General features: G+C 42.3%; 1 protein-coding gene across 7 annotated transcripts in view, besides 1 other annotated feature; it reads left to right on the top strand.

Annotated features, from left to right (window-relative positions):
* Positions 14367-14466: an enhancer, noted in NCBI's record as "active region_20093". NCBI's record gives its function as "activates an Ori minimal core promoter by ATAC-STARR-seq in GM12878 lymphoblastoid cells {active_cell/tissue: GM12878}" and the evidence as "EXISTENCE:reporter gene assay evidence [ECO:0000049][PMID:35858748]".
* The window catches only part of SHQ1 (SHQ1, H/ACA ribonucleoprotein assembly factor), a 123174-nt gene continuing 117542 nt past the window's right edge, over positions 14685-20316 (top strand). For all 7 annotated transcript variants that reach the window (XR_001740192.3, NM_018130.3, XM_011533898.3 and 4 more), the window contains exons 1-2: positions 14685-14932; positions 18707-18771. Coding sequence is in view for 6 of the 7 variants with exons in the window: in NM_018130.3 (NP_060600.2) it covers positions 14790-14932; positions 18707-18771 (208 nt within the window). In the remaining variant the exon portion in view is untranslated. The remainder of the gene's footprint in view (positions 14933-18706; positions 18772-20316) is intronic.

Here is a 20316-nt window from a genome sequence, read left to right as displayed (position 1 = left end):
TTTGGGAGGCTGAGGTGGGCGGATCACTTGAGGTGAGGAGTTTGAGACCAGCCTGGCCAACGTGGTGAAACCCTATCTCTACTAAAAAATACAAAAATTAGCCGAGTGTAGTGGCATGCGTCTGTAATCCCAGCTACTGGGGAGGCTGAGGCACGAGATCACTTGAACTTGGGAGGCGAAGGTTGCAGTGGGCTGGGATTGCACTACTGCACTCTAGCCTGAGTAACAGGGCAAGACTCCATCTCAAAAAATAAAAAACAAACAAAAAAAAAACCTCCCACCAACCAGCTGGGTAACCTTCCAGGGTTACTTTCTCCAGCTTTCAGTTTCGTCTGTTAAAAAAAAAAGGGGGGGGTTGGACTAAATGATTTTTAAGGTTGGACTAAATGATTTCTATAGTTCTGTTCAGCTATAGAATTATTCTCCTTGCCATTCACCACCCTCAGCAATTTGCCCTAGACTCCGTTCCAATCCCATTGCTTGTTGCTTCAGTTCCTGTATCCTTTACATCAGATAAGGTGACCTGGTTCTACCCCATTTATCTGCATTTTTTTCTCCCCAGAGCCTTTACTGGGGCCCCAGACTTTCTTACTAGAAATGTGATTTTTCTAATTGTTTCAACCCTCAAGCATTTCTCTATCTCTGGATCTCTCAGACATGAATTTGTACACTGTTGTTTCTTGCTGCTGTGCCATTTATCAACTGCTACATTATAAACTTCCTCCAAACCCACTGACTTAAAACAACAGCTATTTTATTATGCTCACAAGTTTGTGAATTAGGAATTAGATCAGGCACAGTGGGGATGGCTCTGTCTCATCTGACATAACTGGACCCTCTGCTGGGGTGGGTCTGATGATTGGAGGTAGCTGGGATGGGGCCTTAAGCCTGGAGCCTTCTTTCCGGCTGTTAGCTAGATTTTCTCCACATGGCATCTGCTAGGGTTTGAATGTCCAAAATGGCTTCTTTACTCACGTGAACCGCACCTGGGCTGAAATGGCTGGGACAGCTGGGATGGCCACATAGCCTCTCCATGCGGCTAGGCTGGGTTTCCCCACAGCATTGCGGTTTTAGGATACTGGATTTCTGATACCATGGCTGGCTTCCATCAGAGCACAGGTTCTAAGAGTTGAGGATGGGAGCAGCAAGGCCTTCTATGACCTGGTCTTTGGAAGTCACACAGTGTTCTTTTCTGCTGCATTCTGTTTGCTTCACAGGGCCAACTCAGATTCATTCTGGGAGGGTACTACACAAGGTGCGGGTAAGTGTTGGGTGTAGTGCTCATGGTGGCAGGGGGCATCTTTAGAAACTGGCTGTCACAACTGTGAATGCTTCTGTGTTTTATTTTCATAACTAAAGTCTAAATTATTTGAGATTAGGAAAGATTTCTTTCCTCTTTTATTACCTTCACTGTCTCCTCCTTCTCTCTTCCCACAGCATAAAGAAGAGAAACACATGTTTTATAGACTATAGGCAGGATGGCTGGGCACTATGGCTCATGCCTGTAGTCCCAGCACTTTGGGAGGCCGAGGTGGGCAAACCACATGAGGTCAGAAGTTCAAGACCAGCCTAGCCAACATGGTGAAACCCCATCTCTACTAAAAATACAAAAATTAGCCAGGCTTGGTGGTGTGCACCTGTAGTCCCAGCTACTTGGGAGGCTAAGGCATGAGAATCGCTTGAACCTGGGAGGTGGAGGTTACAGTGAGCCAAGATTGTCCCACTGCACTCCAGCCTAGGTGACAGAGTAAAACTGTGTCTCAAAAAATAAATAAATAAATAAATAAAAGAATATAGGCAGGAGTCTGGATAAGCTCAAGGGTCCCAATCCTGGCTGTGTCATTTACTAGCCATGGGACAATCACTCAACCTCTCCATATCCAAGTTTCCTCATTTACACAATGGTGGTGGTGGTGGTGGTGACATGATAGCACTTTTTCTCATATAAATGATAGGAGGATGAAATAGTGATATTGTTAGCAAATCAGTTAGAAGAAAAGGCTACTATACAACAAGCAACCAATGAATACCAGCTATTATTGTTGTTGATTTAATTTAGACCATCAATTTATCATGATTTGGGGGCAGCGTTGCCCAAAGGAAAAAGGAAGAATCTAACCATTGTTTTCTGAAATGAAAAAAACAAATTATCCCACAAACTGTGATGATGAAGGCAACTGGCTCTACAGCATCTGTTCAGACACTATCCCAGAGGCTGGAGACTTCTGAAGTCAAGAAGACATGTTTACATTTTCTTATTTCTTCATGTCTTATCTAAAGATATATTTAGATAAGAGAGTATAAGTGGATACAAAGGCCTTACTCCTTGCCTCAATATGGGACAACTCTGAAAAAGCTGTTAAAAACTGAAGAGGAAAAAAGCCATCCCAGCTCCAGAGCTCCCAGTAGAAATGGTTTCTTTTTTTTTTTTTTTGGGACGGAGTCTCGTTGGAGTGCAGTGGCTTGATCTTGGCTCACTGCAACCTCTGCCTCCCGGGTTGACGCCATTCTCCTATCTCAGCTTCCCGAGTAGCTGGCACTACAGGCGCCCGCCACCATGCCCGGCTAATTTTTTTTGTATTTTTAGTAGAGACGGGGCTTCACCGTGTTAGCCAGGATGGTCTCAATCTCCTGACCTCGTGATCCTCCCGCCTCAGTCTCCCAAAGTGCTGGGATTACAGGCATGAGCCACTGCGCCCGGCCAGAAACGGTTTTTTCATGTCTTATCTAAAGAGAGTATATGCTTAATTGGCTATAAATTACAATGTAAAAATCACAACCAAAGGAAAAAAATAAAAAGAGAAAAAAAAATCACAACCAAAAGGCTGTTAAATACTGAGATGACCACGAAAAACAAGTGTAAATAAACAAAACCTGTAAGGCAAAAAAAAAAAAAAAAAAATTCATCAAAAAACTGATGTGAAACAAAGAAAATGTCAACGCAGAGAAAAGAAGTTCAAGTAAATGGAAGCATGAATGAACACTTGCAGAGGATATGCAAAAAGCAGGGTAGAGAATGGAGCACAAATCAAAAGAAGAAGATTAGAAGAAGGATCTGAAGGCATGTTTTGATTATGTACAATTGACAATACCAAAATTGCTAACTGCATTTTAAACACTAAGACATCCTGTTGAAAGGATTGGTCCTTATTTTGGAAAAAAAGCAACTAATGTGAACTCTTCTGGGAAAACAATATAAAACAAGCCAGTAATACTATTTTAACTTTACAGAGAAGTGCCTGTAATGAGTTTACAATACATATAATCTACAGAAATAGTTTCAAATTGCAGGAGGGCCAATTTTCCTCCTACTTAGAGCTCGTTTTGTTTTGTTTTTTTCCTTCAACAAGATTGGCTTTCTTTTGGGAGGCTGCAATAATCAAAAGACATTCAGGAAGATAGAACGCCCTGGCAATGGATTTTTTCCCCCTAGAGACAGGGCCTCGCTGTGCTGCCTAGGCTGGAGTGCAGCAGTGCAATCATAGCTCACTGAAGCCTCAACCTCCTGGGCTTAAGTGATCCTCCCATCTCAGCCTCCCAAGTAGCTATGACTACAGGTGCACGCCACCACACCCAGCTAATTTTTTTTCTTTTTTTGAGATGGAGTCTCACTCTGTCACCCAGGCTGGAGTGCAGTGGCATGATCTCAGCTCACTGCAACCTCCGTCTCCCGGGTTCAAGTGATTCTCCTGCCTCAGCCTCCCCAGTAGCTGGGATTACAGGCATGTGCCAGCACACCCAGCTAATTTTTTTGTATTTTTAGTAGAGACGGGGTTTCATCATGTTGGCCAAGCTGGTCTAGAACTCCTGATCTGAAATGATCCACCCGCCTCAGCCTCCCAAAGTGCTGGGATTACAGGTGTGAGCCACTGCGCCCAGCCCCAGCTATTTTTTTAAAAATATTTTTTTGTAGAGACAGAGTCTTGATCTGCTGTCCAAGTTGGTCTTGAACTCCCGGCCTCAAGTGATCCTCCTGCTTTGTCCTCCCAAAGTGCTGGGATTACAGGCATGAGCCACCATGCCTGGATGGATTTTTAAAGTAAAGTCATGCATCATGTAATGACAGGGACACGTTCTGGAAAATGTGTCATTAAGTGATTCTGTCTTTAAGTGATTGTGTGAACATCAGAGCATACTTACAAACTTGGATGGCCTAGCCTCCTATACACCTGAGCTGCATGGTATAGGCTTTTGCTCCTAGGCAACAAACCTGCACAGCATGTTGCTGTACTAAATAATGTAGGAAATTGTAACAGAATGATAGGTATTTGTATATCTAAATATATCTAAACATAGAAAAGGTACAGTCAAAATACAGTATTATAATCTTATGGGGCCACTGTCTTTTATATGTGGTCTGTTGTTGACTGGAAAGTCATTATGGGGCACATGACTGTACAGGCAAACTCATGGCTTTAAGACCCCTCAGTGAAGAAATGCCGGGAAAGGACACTGCAGGAAAATCAAGAAGGAGGCTGCAGAGTTAATTTGGGGAATTTCAGTATTGAAGGGAAGGTCAGCATTCCAGTCTAAGACTCTAAGAAGGAAAGTTGAGTGCTGATGGTTTTGGGGGATGCTTTTGGAGATACACCTATACAAAGAGATGGAGTCTTGCTCTGTCACCCAGGCTGGAGTGCAGTGGTGTGATCTCGGCTCACTGCAAGCTCTGCCTCCGGGTTCATGCCACTCTCCTGCCTCAGCCTCCCTAGGAGCTGGGACTACAGGCACCCACCACCAAGCCCAGCTAATTTTTTGTATTTTTAGTAGAGACGGGGTTTCACCATGTTAGCCAGGATGGTCTCGATCTCCTGAACTCGTGACCCACCCGCCTCGGCCTCCCAAAGTGCTGGTATTACAGGCGTGAGCCACCGCGCCCGGCCATACCATTTCTACCAGGAGCTCTGGAGTTGGGATGACTTTTTTCTTCTTCAGTATTTAACAGCCTTTTCGGAGTTGTCTCATATCAGGGCAAGGAGTTAAGGACTTTGTATCCACATCAGCACTCTGGAGGAGGGTAACTGGATAAGGTAGTTCTCTCTAGGTAAGGGCAGTGCCCTGTGAGGAACACAGCTATAAGCCAACAGCAGCAGCATCCTTTCCCAGCATCCAGAGTCTTCTGACTGTTGTCCAGGCACCCACAGATTCTCTTTTTTATTGAGATATTACACAGAGTAATGTGCACAAATCTTAAATCCATGGCTCTATGAATTTTTGTGTATGAATAGACTCATATAATTCCCATTCAAACTAAGATAAAAACCAAATTTTCAGTACTCCAGCGGGCTGTCTCATGTCCCCTCAATAACCATTCACACAGATGTAATCACTATTCTCACATCTATGAGCATACACTGGTTTTGCCTGTTTTTGAATTTCATATAAGTGGAAATATCTAATATATACTCTCTTGGGTCTTGCCTTTTTGGCTTAATGTGCCTAATGTGATTCATGTATGTTGCCATGCATAGCAGTAATTTATTCTTACTGCTGTGTGGCAATATTGAGTGAATATACCACAATTTGCTCATTCTACTCTTTTTTTTTTTTTTTTTTTTTTTTTTTGAGGCAGAGTTTCACTCTTGTTGCCCAGGCTGAATTCCAATGGTGGGATCTTGGCTCACTGCAACCTCCGCCTTCCGGGTTCAAGTGATTCTCCTGCCTCAGCCTTCTGAGTAGCTGGGATTAGAGGCATATGCCACCACGCCTGGCTAATTTTGTATTTTTAGTAAAGATGGGGTTTCTCCATGTTGGTCAGGCTGGTCTTGAACTCCCGACCTCAGGTGATCTGCCCACCTTGGCCTCCCAAAGCACTGGGATTACAGGTGTGAGCCACCACACCTGGCCCTTACACCTGGCCCTTGACCATTCTACTCTTTCTTTTTTTCCTTTTTTTTTTTTTTGTTGAGACAGAGTCTCGCTTTGTCACCCAGGCTGGAGTGCAGTGGAGTGATCTCGGCTCACTGCAAGCTCCGCCTCCCGGGTTCAGGCCATTCTCCTGCCTCAGCCTCCCAAGTAGCTGGGACTACAGGCACCCGCCACCACACCCAGCTAATTTTTTGTATTTTTAGTAGAGGCGGGGTTTCACCGTGTTAGCCAGGATGGTCCTGATTTCCTGACCTCGTGATCCGCCCACCTCAGCCTCCCAAAGTACTGGGATTATAGGTGTGAGCCACTGCGCCCGGCTCCGCCCATTCTACTCTGAATGAGCACTTGAATTGTATCCAGTTTTGACTATTATGAATAATGTATCCATGAACCCTCTGGTACGTGTCTCTCGACTGAATATTACTTCAGTTCTGTTATGTATAAAAGAGGAATTTCAAGGTATACATATGTTTAGCCTTAGTAGATACTGCCAAACAATTTTTTAAGGTAGTTATACCAGTTTACAATCCCACCACAATCTTTCTAGCCAAAAAAGGTACATTTAAATCATTTCTGCATGAGGGAATAAAAATATGTTCACACCCATCTGTACTAAACAATACAAAAATTAGCCGGGTGTGGTGGCATGTGCCTGTAATCCCAGCTACTTGGGAGGCTGAGGTGGGAGAATCCCTTGAACCCCAGGAGGCGGAGATTGCAGTGAGCCGAGATCGCGCCACTGCGCTCCAGCCTGGGCGATACAGCAAGACTCCAACTCAAAAAAAATTATAATAAAAATAAAAATATGTTCACTCTGAATCAAGGAAAACATTAGTTAGGCTAAGGATAACTAGACTGTAAGAACTTTTTAATAAGTAAGATAAAGACTTGAATCAGCTGTTCTCCATGGGTACTGTAGAAACTTTTCTCCAGTAATTTTGCAGGAGTGTGAAGAATGTTTAAGGGGTTCCGTAAGTGTGGTCATAGGTCAGGTTCCTTAGAAGCAGATCCTGACAGATTTTTTTTTTTTTTGAGACAGAGTCTTGTTCTGTCGCTCAGGCTAGAGTGCAGTCGTGCGATCTCCATTCACTGCAACCTATACCTCCCAGGTTCAAGCAATTCTCCTGCCTCAGCCTCCCAAGTAGCTGGGACTACAGGCATGCGCCACCACGCCCGGCTAATTTTTGTATTTTTATTTATTTATTTATTGTTATTTATTTATTTTTGAGATGGAGTTTCACTCTTGTTGCCCAGGCTGGAGTGCACTGGTGCGATGTCGGCTCACTGCAACCTCTGCCTCCCAGGTTCAAGTGATTCTCCTGCCTCAGCCTCCCGAGTAGCTGGGATTACAGGTGCCCACCACCATGCCCAGCTAATTTTTGTATTTTTAGTAGAGATAGGGTTTTACCATGTTGGCCAGGCTGGTCTCGAACTCCTGACCTCAGGTGATCCACCCATCTCGGCCTCCCAAAGTGCTGGGATTACAGGCGTGAGCCACCATGCCCAGCCTATTTTTGTATTTTTAATAGAGACGTGGTTTCTCCCTGTTGGCCAGGCTGGTCTTGAACTCCTGACCTCTGGTGATCTGCCCACCCCTGCCTCCCACAGTGCTGAGATTACAGGCGTGAGCCACTGTACCCAGCCAGATCCTGAGAGATTTTGATGCATGTGATCTATGAGGAAGGGTTCTCTGGAGAAATTTATTAAGGAGGAGGTGAAAGGGAATGGGAAAAGGGAAGACAGCCAAAGAAAGATGTGGGTTTGGGGAAAATCTAGCCTCGGCTGGATCCCATTAAAAAAAACAAAACAAAACTCTGGAGCATAAGCCATGCCACAGAGTCACCTTCCCTTTTGAGGTGGTCTTCTGAACCCCATATCGCTCTTCATGATTGCAGGCTTGGGCAAGGGGGTAGCGGTCGTCGTGGTAGTAATTAAATCCTGGAGGTTTCTTCTATCAATCTAGAGCAGCTGTTCTCAGCCCTGGGCAATTTTGTCCCCTCAAGGGCATTTGGCAAAGTCTGGAGAAGTTTTGTGATTGTTACACCAGGAAAACTCGTGCTTGTATTGAGAGATTAGACGATAAGGATGCTGCTAAACATCCTACAGTGCATAGGACAGCCTTCTGCAACAAAGAATGATCCTGCACAAAATACTGGAGTGAAGAAACCCTGAGCTAAGGCAATTCTTTGGCGGGATCAGTGGCAAGCCATTACATTCACTGCTAGTGACAGATGAGCTTCCTGGCTCCATAAAGGGAATCTGGGCAGGGCATCAGAATAGTACCTTTTGCAGATGCTTTTTCAAAATATGATGTTAAACAATGAAGGAGGCTTGAAATGCTGTTCAGTTAGCATTCTTTTGTGATCCTGCATTTCATTTAATGGGATAAGACTAGCATCTTGATATATATATCACTAAGCCCTTAGGTACATTGCTCAGAAATCTTGTCAAAAAACACTCTTATGTCAGCTGTAGCCATTTTGGATTTTCTTTGGAGCTTTATCGAACTTGTGCAAAATTGGAATTGGGCTGAATCCTCCCTGAAATACTCATTACTATGCTACATTAGTGCTAACACTGTGCTCCTTAGCAAGTTTAACTCTAACAACTGTAATGTGAATGGGCTAAAGGATTGGGGAAAAGAACAAAAATAGCTGCACTTAAATCCAGAGGGGTTTGAAAACCACTGGAGGTCACCAGTGTCAGACTCATGGTCTTCTTAGTCTACATCCTGTTGGGACCATCCCTTAAACCTCTTTTACAGTCCTGTATTTATCTGTCAGTTACCCACGAATTTATCTGTGTCCTCTTAGAAGCAGTTTATAGCTTGGAATTGCAAAACTCAGGGTATCAATGGCAGGAAATATTTGCAAATTATGCCTCCAACAAAAGACTAATATCCAGAATTTACAAGGAACTCAAACAACTCAACAAGGGGGAAAAAACCCAGTAAAAAGTGGGCAAAGGACACGAACAGACATTTCTCCAAAGAAGACATACAAGTAGCCAATAAACATGAAAAAATGTTCAACATCACTAATTAGAGAAATGTAAATTAAAACAACAATAAGACATTATCTTAACACCAGTCAGAATGGCCATTATTAGAAAGTCAAACAACAACAGATGTTGGCATGGATGTGGAGAGAAGAGAATGCTTATGCACTGTTGGTGGGGATGGAAATTAGTACAACCTCTACAGAAAACGGTATGGAGATTTCTCAAATAAATAAAAATAGAAATATAATTTGAACTTGCAATCCCACTACTGGGTATCTACCCAAAGGAAAATAAATCATTGTATTACAAAAAGACACTTGGCTGAGTGCAGTGGCTCATGCCTGTAATCCTAGTACTTTGGGAGGCTGAGGTGGGCGGACTGCCTGAGCTCAGGAGTTCGAGACCAGCCTGGGCAACATGGTGAAATCCTATCTCTACTAAAATACAAAAAAATTTAGCCAGGTGCGCACCTGTAGTCCCAGCTACTCGGGAGGCTGAGGCAGAAGAATCACTTGAACCCGGGAGGCAGAGGTTTCAGTGAACCAAGATCGCACCATTGTACTCCAGCCTGGGCAACAGAGCAAGATTCCATCTCATAAAAAAAAAAAAAAAAGAAACCTGTACTCATATATGTATTGCTGCACTATTCATGATAGCAGTCATGAAATCAACCTAAGTGTCCATCAGTGGTTGACTGGATAAGGAAAATGTGGTGGCTGGGTGCAGTGGCTAACGCCTATAATCCCAGCACTTTGGGAGGCCAACGTGGGTGGATCACTTGAGGTCAGGAGTTCAAAATCAGCCTGGCCAGCATGATGAAACCCGTCTCTACTAAAAATACAAAAAATTAGCTGGGTGTGGTGGCACACGCCTGTAGTCCCAGCCACTCGGGAGGCTGAGGCAGGAGAATTGCTTGAACCCGAGAGGCAAAGGTTGCGGTGAGCCGAGACGGCGCCACTGCACTCCAGCCTGGGCGACAGAGCGAGACTCTGTCCCAAATAAATAAAATAAAAAATGTGGTATAATTACACCATGAAATACTATGCAGCCATAAACAAGAATGAAATCAAGTCCTTTGCAGCAATATGGATGGAGCTGGAGGCCATTATCTTAAGTGAAATAACTCAGAAATAGAAAATCAAATACTATAAGTTCTCATTTATAAGTAGGAGCCTAAACAATGGGTACACATGAACATGAAGATGGAAATAGTAGACACTGGGGACTCCAAAGGGGGGAGAGTGAGAGGGGTAAGGGCTGAAAAATTACCTAATGGGTACTGTGTTCACTATTTGGGTGATGGCTAACTAGAAGGACAACCCCACCATTATGCAATATATCCATGTAACAGAATTGCACATGAACCCCCGAACCTAAAATAAAATAAATTTAAATAAAAAACTCATGAGTGCCATTGTATTACCACTGTTATACAAAAGGATTTTTTTCAAACTTCAAAATGTGTTATCCAGTTTGTACTCTAACTTTTGTATTTTTTTAATTTTTTTTAAATTATACTTTAAGTTTTAGGGTACATGTGCATATTGTGCAGGTTAGTTACATATGTATACATGTGCCATGCTGGTGCGCTGCACCCACTAACTCGTCATCTAGCATTAGGTATTTTTACTCTAGTTTCATGATCCTAGTATTAGTTTTTTTTTTCCTTTCTTAAAATGAATCATCACTGTGTTCAATTCTGTTTTTAAGAGTTCTAACACTAGGCCAGGAGTGGTGGCTCACTCTTATAATTCCAGTGCTTTGGGAGGCTGAAGTGGGAAGAGTGCTTGAGGCCAGGAGTTTGAGACCAGCCTTCACAACATAGCAAGACCCCGTCTCTACTAAAAAAAAAAAAAAAGTTAGCTGCGTGTGGTGAAACATACCTGTAGTCCTAGCTATTTGGGAGGCTGAGGTGGGAGGATTGCTTGAGCCTAGGAGGTTGAGGCTGCAGTGAGCTATGATCCTGCCACTGCACTCCAACCTGGGAAACAGCACAAGACCCTGTCTCTGAAAAAAAAAACAACAAAAAAACAAAGAGTACAATTGTGGATAAACTTATTCTTGACAAAAATGTAGTCAAATGGAAATATTGTAATGCCACATATGTATTTTATATATTATATATATATATATATATATATATATATATATATATATAGAGAGAGAGAGAGAGAGAGAGAGAGAGAGAGAGAGAGAGAGAGAGAGAGATATGGAGTCTTGCTCTGTCACCCAGGCTGGAGTGCAATGGTGCAATCTCAGCTCACTGCAACCTCCACCTCCCAGGTTCAAAGGATTCTTTTGCCTCACAGCCTTCCGAGTAGCTGGGATTACAGGTGGTGCCACCACACCTGGCTAATTTTTTTGTATTTTTAGTAGAAACAAAGTTTTCCCATGTTGGCCACAGCAGTCTCAAATTCTTGACCTCAAGTGATCCACCCGCCTAGGCCTCCCAAAGTGCTGGGATTACAGGCATGGGCGACCGTGCCCAGCCTGTAATCCTATATTAAGTGAAGAAAGCAAATATAGATTATGACATTCTTTTGTTGAAAATACTTCCCATACTTTTATGAATAGGAGTCTGAAAAGATGTATGCCAAAATAATAACAGTGGTTAAGACGTAGTTTGCAAATACTGTGTAAGATTCCACCACCTCCCCAAAATGGCTCAGAGAATGAACTAGCGCTATAAACAACTTATTCAGGAAGCTATTTTTCAACATAGGTTAAAGCTCCATTCTTTGAGATAACATTGTTTTAATCACCTATATGCATGCCACCTTCTGGAAACAAGGAGTATTTCACCATTAAAAGACTTCTAACAATAGAACTTGGTAATAAAGCTGACATTGGAATTGTTTATAAAAACCATTTTTAATTTAACATTTAATTTGGAAGCTTATGGATCACAATCAGGGTTGTTAGACCAGAGGAGGGGCCAATTTAATATAATGAAAGATGATAGGTTACACACTTGTCCTACATAAGTTGGTCATGGAAAAAACTTTATCTTATTATTTTATTTCATGTTCTCTATAGGCCAGAAGGAAAAACTATTTTTAAAACAGTGGAAGGCCATTCAAAAGTAAGCTTTCAGAAAATGAAAAGATAAAAAACACTGCAACATTTGAATGCTCAAAAATGATGAAAAATTGCATTCCTGTTTTCCCCTCTAAACCAGAGCTAATTTAAAACATTAAAATAATGTCTTTATTCTCAAGCAATGTCTGTATTCAGAAATAGAAACTCAATTTGATCTATGAATCAATATAGCTATGTCTCAAAAATGAACCAAAGTAGGAAAAAAAGCATGTTGCAGAATTACTTTCATAGTGTGAGAATGTGCCCATATAAAGTGGGTCTAAACACAAAGCAACAGGGTCCATAGAAATGGATGTAGAAATAGAAAAGGGTCTGAAGTGATAGCTAGGACTGCCTTTGAGGAAGCAGGAGAAAGAACCAAAGTTGCATGGCAGCCAAAAGGAACTTTATGTTCTTAAGTGAGAATGAATCTATAACTTATATTTACCACTAATAGAAATGCAAAAATAAGAGAACTATTGCCTGCAAGAAAACAAAAACCAACAGAAACCCAAAACAACAAAACCTTGTTATATACTTGAAACTATCCGTATTTTGTGATTTAGCAGATGCAGTATATATTTCTTATAATGACGGCAGCACTGAACCATGTTGTCTGTTTTCCTGTGTTGCAGTCCTGTGTGTGTGTGTGTTGCCAGACACATAATAAAGTACCCAGGAAATGCACAGCTCTAGTTTGCAAAGTGCTTTCAATTAGAATTTCCTCATGGATAGCATAGCTTGTTTCAGTTGATTCTCTGGCATTAATAATTTAAAAATATTAATGCTTGTGACCTACAGGAATGAGGTCCCATGGCAGATGTAAAGATTATTTCTTTTTTTTTTTTTTGAGATGGAGTTTCACTCTTGTCACCCAGGCTGGAGTGAAATGGCACAATCTCGGCTTACTGCAACTTCCGCCTCCTGGGTTCAAGGGATTCTCCTGCCTCAGCCTCCTGAGTAGCTGGGATTATAGGCACACACCACCATGCCTGGCTAATTTTTGTATTTTTAGTAGAGACGGAGTTTCACCATCTTGGCCAGGCTAGTCTCGAACTCCTGACCTCAGGTGATCCACCCCCTCGGCCTCCCAAAGTGGTGGGATTACAGGTGTGAGCCACCGCTCCCGGCCAAGATTCTTTGTAAAGAAGCTAATTTGGAATAGTTTAGTCACAGGCCTATCTCAAGGGACCTTTTGAGAGCTTTATTAAATCAAAGTTGGCATCAATTCATTGTCAATATTGAGTGCCTATTACTTGTAAGGCTCAGTATGGTCTAAAGCAGGCAGGCTTGGCTTTAGAATGTGAAACAAAGTAGGTGGTAATAACAGAGGGAGTCAACTCTGTAATAGTGTAGAGCCTGGGCCTAGGAATCAGACTCACCTGGGTTTCAATTCCCATTGCACCACTTACTAGCTGTGAGATCCTGTGCAAGCCAAGGGAATATATAATGCCTACTTCATAGAGCGGTCAGGAGGGAGAATGAGATCATTACAAAGGGTTTGCTGCAGTGCTGGCACATAGTAAATATTCAGTTAATGTTAGCCCCTGTTACTATTAATTTTTTTTCTGAGTCCTAATGAAGTTTCAAGAATGTCTCCTTAGAATCATAAAACAGCTGGAGATTGAAAAGACTTTTGAAGTTTTCTGGTTATCTCCACTGTCCTAGGAGAGTACTTTTCATCCCTTTTCCACTGATACTTAAAACCACGGAATAAATACCACAACTGGATTATTCTAATTAGTGGTGGAATAACAGGAAACAACATGTGTGGAAAGGCCAAGGGAATATGTGGGGGAAGAGGGAAACCAGCGGGAGAGGCACTGAGAGAGTGTAAGGGGCACACTCCAAAGGGAGAAAATACAAGGAAGACAAGTAGAAAAAAAGACAGAAAAGATGTCCTCAGACAAGTGTAAGGACAAGAGTGAGAAAAAGGAAAGAAGGGGAATACAGAGGGACCTTAATTTGTGAATGCAGTCACCGACACGGTTTAAGAGTCAAACGTTCTGAGTTCTAATTACTGTAAAATGCATGGTTATAAAACGTACTGATTAACCTCTCTGAGCCGTTTTCTTTAGAGTTTGCAGCGTAGATTAGATGAGATTAGCGGGACGGACGCTCTGTTAAAGAGAAAACTCTTCAAATAAGCCGTTAAGAATGAGAGAGAAAGCTGCAGAAAAAGAGAAGTGGAAAGAGAGAGGGAGGAAAGGGAAAGTGTAAGAGGAATTGTTCACAAGGCAGGTGAGAACTAAGGGAAACCACTGTAACGGTGCTGCTGTGGCTACTGCGGTGACTACTTCAGCACATCAAGCGTTGACAACTTGCCAAGTTCGTTATTAGAGTTCTACATGCACAATTTCATGCTACCCTCACAGCATTTCTATGGGGCTAGGTTCTCGCATTATCCGCGTTTTACAGAAGATATAGAGAGGTTTTGTAACTTTCCCAAGGTCTTACAGCTGAGAAGTTGTGGCCAGGAAGGGATTCAAACGCACGTCTGTTTACCTGTCAAGCCAGTGCTGTTAAAATCATCTCTAAGAACCTCGAAAAAGGCTCGGTTGCTAGTCATCCCGCCGGTTCAACGCCGGCTCCCAGGCACCACTCGCCACGCCCTTTCTCCGCCCGGGGGTTTTGAAAGTTCCGCCTCTTCTCGAACGGCGTCCCGTCTCCATGGAGATTGGCGTGGGGAGAGACTTCCTGCCTTACGCGCGAGCACTTCCGCCTCGAGCCGGAAGCTCCGTCCCTCACACCGAGAGTTCCTGCGCGTGGGGAGTTGGAGAGTTTGCGTGGCGGGAACGCGGCGGCAGTGAGAGCGAGCGGCGCCGGCCCTTGCGTCCGGTGCGGCGATGCTGACCCCGGCGTTCGACCTCAGCCAGGATCCGGACTTCCTGACTATCGCCATCCGCGTGCCCTACGCCCGGGTCTCCGAGTTCGACGTCTACTTCGAGGGGTCTGACTTCAAGTTCTACGCCAAGCCATACTTTCTCAGGCGAGTTCGGGGTGCCTGGCCGCAGGAAAGGCGCATTCGTTAGATAGCTGCTTTAGAGGGAGAATGCAAGGTCGAGAGAGCAGTGCTCGATTGCGCGAATGCCTTTTCCCGACGTTTCCGCAGCTTCTCTTGGTGCCAGGGAACTGCCCTCTTCCAGGGGTGCGTTTTAGATGCTGCGGAAGCCCTTTTCCTTCTTGAGCTTTCTTAAATCCCATATCAAAGGATTGCGGAATCACTTGAAAAAGTGACGTTTGGACCGTGTCACTTTCCCGTTTCTGCCCTGTCGCCCTAGTTCTCGTCCCGTTCTGACTTGTTCTGTTCTTTCCTTTCACTCCGCGTTTGCTCTCCCAGTCTCTCCCTTCCTGGGAACGGCGCGCGCTGACATCTCCGTGACTTCCCAACCCGTCGGTCCTTTTAACTTTGCCCAGGCCGCCTTCTGTTGATCTATCTCTTGTCTGTCCGCTCCCTACTTACCGAAATTCTTACCTTTTTTGGACCTCTTGACACCAAATTAGCCTAGTTCTCCTGCTTCCCTGCTGTCTGCTGCTCTTCTGTTTGGTTTTGTCCCTGAAGTGTGGTTGTTTCCCCCAAGTCTCCGTGAGGGTCTGTCAGCACTTGATCTGTTTAAATTATTCTCCTTGCAGAATCGTAACCTTGGTAGCAGCTAACACTGATAACTCGTAGTGTGGTGGACAAGCAGTTCCGTTAAGTGCTTTATGATGGTGTATCTCATTTAACTTTGACGGTGATCCTTAGGGATAAGCACTGCTATTAACCCCATTCCACAGAACCCGCTGCTACATATTCATCCTAAAGTATTGCCAATCTCTTGTCCTTCTCTTTATCCATCCTCCTAATCTTTCTGAAGTGTAGCTGCATCCTACTTTTCCCACCCAAGTACTTTTGTGGTACAAACCTTCTCCACCAGTCAAGGTGGTTTTTTCACTGTTGCTGAACCAGTTTTGCTCAGATTTCCCTTAGACCATATAACGTCCGTATTTGAATTATTGCACTTTCCAGTTTTTTAATTCACTTATTTCTTTAATTTATTTATTGAGTTTCAGTGTTGGTATTATTGTGCTGAACAAGACAAAGTCCTGCCCTCATGTACTTTTCACTGGGGAGAGGAAAACAATAAACAGTGTACTTAATTGTGGTGAGTGCTATGAGGAGAAAGAAGTGCACTAATAGAGAATGAAAAAGGGCCCATGTTTTATAAAGTGGTCAGGAAAAGCCTTTCTGGGGAGGCGATATTTAAGCCAAGATGTGAAGAATAGGAAGAAGATTATGGTGGTAGCAAATATTTATTGAATTTTTACTCCAGGTTAGTGCTTTATACGGATTATCTCATTTGTTATTAGGACAGTGTTACAACGAGGCTTTATTATTTACCCGTTGCCGTGGATGGATTATTTGTGGGCACCCCCCCAACTCTTGTCCCCAAATTCATATGTTAAAGGTCTAATTCCTGTGTCACTTCTGCTTTATTGTATTCATCAAAACAGTCCCAGAGCCTGCTGAATTTTAAGGGGAGGGAACATAGACCTTCATGGTTGGGAAGAGTGCTGTGAGATGGGCATTCTTTGATAATACAGTTTGCCCCCAGATGTGGTGGCTCACTCCTGTAATCCCAGCACTTTGGGATGCCGAGGTGGGCAGATCACTTGAGGTCAGGAGTTTGAGACCGGCCTGACCAACATGGTTAAACCCCATCTGTACTAAAAATACAAAAAAATTATCTGGGCTTGATGGCACGCGCTTGTAGTCCTAGCTACTTGGGAAGCTTGAGGTGAGAGAATCGCTTGAACCTGGGGGGCGAAGGTTGCAGTGAGCCAAGATTGCGCTATCGCACTCCAGCCTGAGTAACAGAGCGAGACTGTCTAAAAAAAAAAAAAAAAAGAACATACAGTTTGCTATACCAAGGATGAATAAAACCTGGTCCCTCTCCTTGAAGAATGGAGACTGTAGCTGCGGAGGCCCCATGTAAGCAAATATAATTTTCTCTGCAGTAAGAATTTAACTCTAGGCTTATAGAGTTTAGGGGAAGGGAGCTGGTAATAATAGCTCACATTTTCTGAATGCTCACCTGTTGTGCCGGCCACTAAGCTCTTTGCATTATCATTTCATGCTCATAGTAACGCTTGGATAGTTACTGTTATTTCCCCCCTTTACAGAAGAGGGATTTATGATTCTTGAAGAATAATTAACTTGTACAAAGAAGGTTGTTACACATCTGGTAAATGGCAGATCTAGGAGTTAATTCAGATTCTGACACTAAAGTTAGCGTTTGTAACCATTATAACAAACTCATCCATAAACTGACCCCTTATTCTGGCTTAGAGGGATTTTCATTCTGAAAATGTATTGAAGCTTGAGGAAACCTTGGGATTAAAGGTCCTGGGCCTTTTGGGACTGTCAGCTGTTTTTGTTTTTAATCATATTTAGTAGGAAACAAGGGGGAGGGCCATGGGAAGAAAGGAAGCTCAAATTTCAAGTTTGGAATGATATGGAGTGGGCCTGATATGCCCTTCTGATAAGTTTAAATTATCTAGGCAACATGAGGCAGCCATAGACACTTTTTAAAATAGAAAAGTGACAATTAGATTCCTGTTTTAGAAAAATTATTTTGGAGCCTCAGTGGAAGACTGATTGAACTAGGGTAAAACTGGAAGCAGGGAAATCACTTCATTTCTTTTTTCTTTTTTTTTTTTTGGACACAGAATCTCACTCTGTTGCCCAGGCTGGAGTGCAGTGGCAAATGATCTCGGCTCACTGCAACCTCCCCTTCCTGGGTTCAAGTGATTCTTCTGCCTCAGCCTCCTGACTGGCTGGGGTTACAGGTGTGCACCACTATGCCTGGCTAATTTTGTATTTTTAGTAGATATAGGGTTTCTCCATTTTGGCCATGTTGGTCTTGAACTCCTGACCTAAGGTGATCGACCCACCTCGGCCTCCCAAAGTGCTAGGATTACAGGCGTAAGCCACCACGCCCAGCCAATCACTTCATTTCTTTTAGTACAAAAGAGGGGTAAATCCCTACATAATAATGATGAGATTTGACACTTTTGCTTTCTGCTTTTTTTTTAAAGTAGTAATTTGCCTGATAAAATCAATTGGTTTTGTGTTTCTTTATTGTTTCCCATTGAGTATCCCTTATCTGTACAGATTGAGTGTCCCTTATATGAAATTTCAGATTTTCTAGAGTTTTGGAATATTTTTGCATACATAATGAGATATCTTGAGGATGGAACTCAAGTTTAAACACAAAATTTATTTGTTTTATATACACCTTATACATATAGCCAGAAGATAGTTTTATGTAATTTTTTAATACTTTTGTGTATGCAGCCAAGTTTTGACTGCTTTTTGACTGTGACTCATCACATGAGGTCAAGTGTGGAGTTTTCCACTTTGTGGTGTCATGTTGGTGCTCAAAAAGTTTCAGATTTTGGAGCATTTCAGATTTTCAGATTAGGGATACTCAACTTGTGTTATAACAATAGTGATAACTACTATTTATTATGGCTTTTCTTTTTCAGTATCTATTTTGTTGGTGACTAGGGGTATTCAAATAGAAAGATGAGTCATCTCTAATTTCTACTTTCTTGGTTGGGGAAAGAATCTAACTTAGTTTATTAAAATGTGAAAGAAATACTGAGGAACTTCTTAAAAAATGATTGATATATTTTGATGGTTAAATGTTTGCAAGTATTGATGGCCACTTATGTTACGTTATAATTTAAGGACTTCATGAGACCTGTGTTAAATCTGCAGATTAACCCTTCCTGGAAGAATTGTAGAAAATGGAAGTGAGCAAGGGTCCTATGATGCAGATAAAGGTATTGTCTTTGGAATTTTTGTTAGTTTATTTCTTGGGATTTTTCACATTATTTACATAATAATCTTACAAGATACCATGGGGACCTTTTGATGTCTTTCAAATACAATCTGTTCCTATCACTCTTTCTTGTTTCTTAGTGTCCAGTGCCTGTTATTGATGTTCCCCACCCCTCACAAGTCTTTTAAAGTATTTCACAATGTTCTTCAAAGTAAAGTTAACTGCTCCGGTTCTATTTCCTAGAGTACTTCCCCTACATTTAGTAGACATTTAAAAGTAAAAATTAGAACATGTGAAATGATTGATCATAAAAAATGTAGATGACTTATGAGCTTATGAATGGAATCTTTCTGGTATAATTTTCAAACTTGAACTTTAATAACAGGTAGGTGAGAGAGAAACTATGCATGGGTGGCATTTAAAGGCTAATTGAATTTTCTCCTCATGATTGATAAGCCCTTCATTTCAGCTAGCCATGAACCCATTTATTTTTCCTTTATAGAAGCCACTGGCTTCCTTTGTCATCGGATTTAGAACACCTTGTGTAGTCTTGTGTACTTTATTCAATGAATATTGACCTCAGTGAACTAGGCTAAGGGTAGGGTATGGGGGGGTGGGTTAAATGACAGAGATCTAACCCATAATGCAGTGTAATTAATGTGTAATGAAGTATAGTGAAACTGCCTTCCTAGGTAGTAAACCAGCTTTTAGTTATAGGTAAGTTGCATATTGAAACAAAATTATTAAATTTTTAAAGTACACAGGAGTTAAGGAAGATTGTGTATGCGGAGATATTTGGGCTGAGTTGTATTTGATATGTTGGAATTCAGTTCAGTACACTGAAAGAGGCAAAATGTTTTAAAATGTCAAAGTGCTAAATAATGTAGTAAGTTCCCAGGGAAGCCTAAATAAGATAGATAAACTCAGTCAAGGAAAGAAAAGAAGTACATAGACTTTAGGGATTTGAGTCTGCCATAGACTTTAGGGATAGATCTCCTGACATGCCAGAAAACCTTATTAAGCCATAATTGTTGTATCTAAGATTCTGTGTATTTTTAAAACTGTTGCCATTCTCCATTGGATTAGGTATTCTGATTTTTTCCTCCTTTCCCAGAAGTCTAATTAGTAACTCCTGGTTAATTCTAAGCTATTACCTTCTTAGGCCATTGATTTTTATAAGTTTTAACTTGGATTTTTAATATTATCAGTAGGTAAAGGTCATACTGTATAAGACTAAAGTATTCTGTAGCTTTCACAGATAAATAATTTTTTTTTTTTTTTTTGAGACAGAATCTCGCTCTGTTGCCCAGGCTGGAGTGCAGTGGCGCGATCTCGGCTCACAGCAACCTCTTCCTCCTGGGTTCAAGCGATTATCCTGCCTCAGCCTCCCAAGTAGCTGGGACTACAGGTGCACATGCCACCACTCCCAGCTAATTTTTGTATTTTTTAGTAGAGATGGGGTTTCACCATGTTGGCCAGGATGGTGTTGATCTCTTGACCTCATGATCCGCCTGCCTCGGCCTCCCGAAGTGCTGGTATTACAGGC

This window comes from Homo sapiens, chromosome 3 (assembly GCF_000001405.40).
Source record: "Homo sapiens chromosome 3, GRCh38.p14 Primary Assembly".
Lineage (NCBI taxonomy): Eukaryota > Metazoa > Chordata > Mammalia > Primates > Hominidae > Homo > Homo sapiens.
The sequence above is the reverse complement of the archived record's forward strand: the minus strand, read 5'-3'. Positions and strand labels throughout refer to the sequence as shown.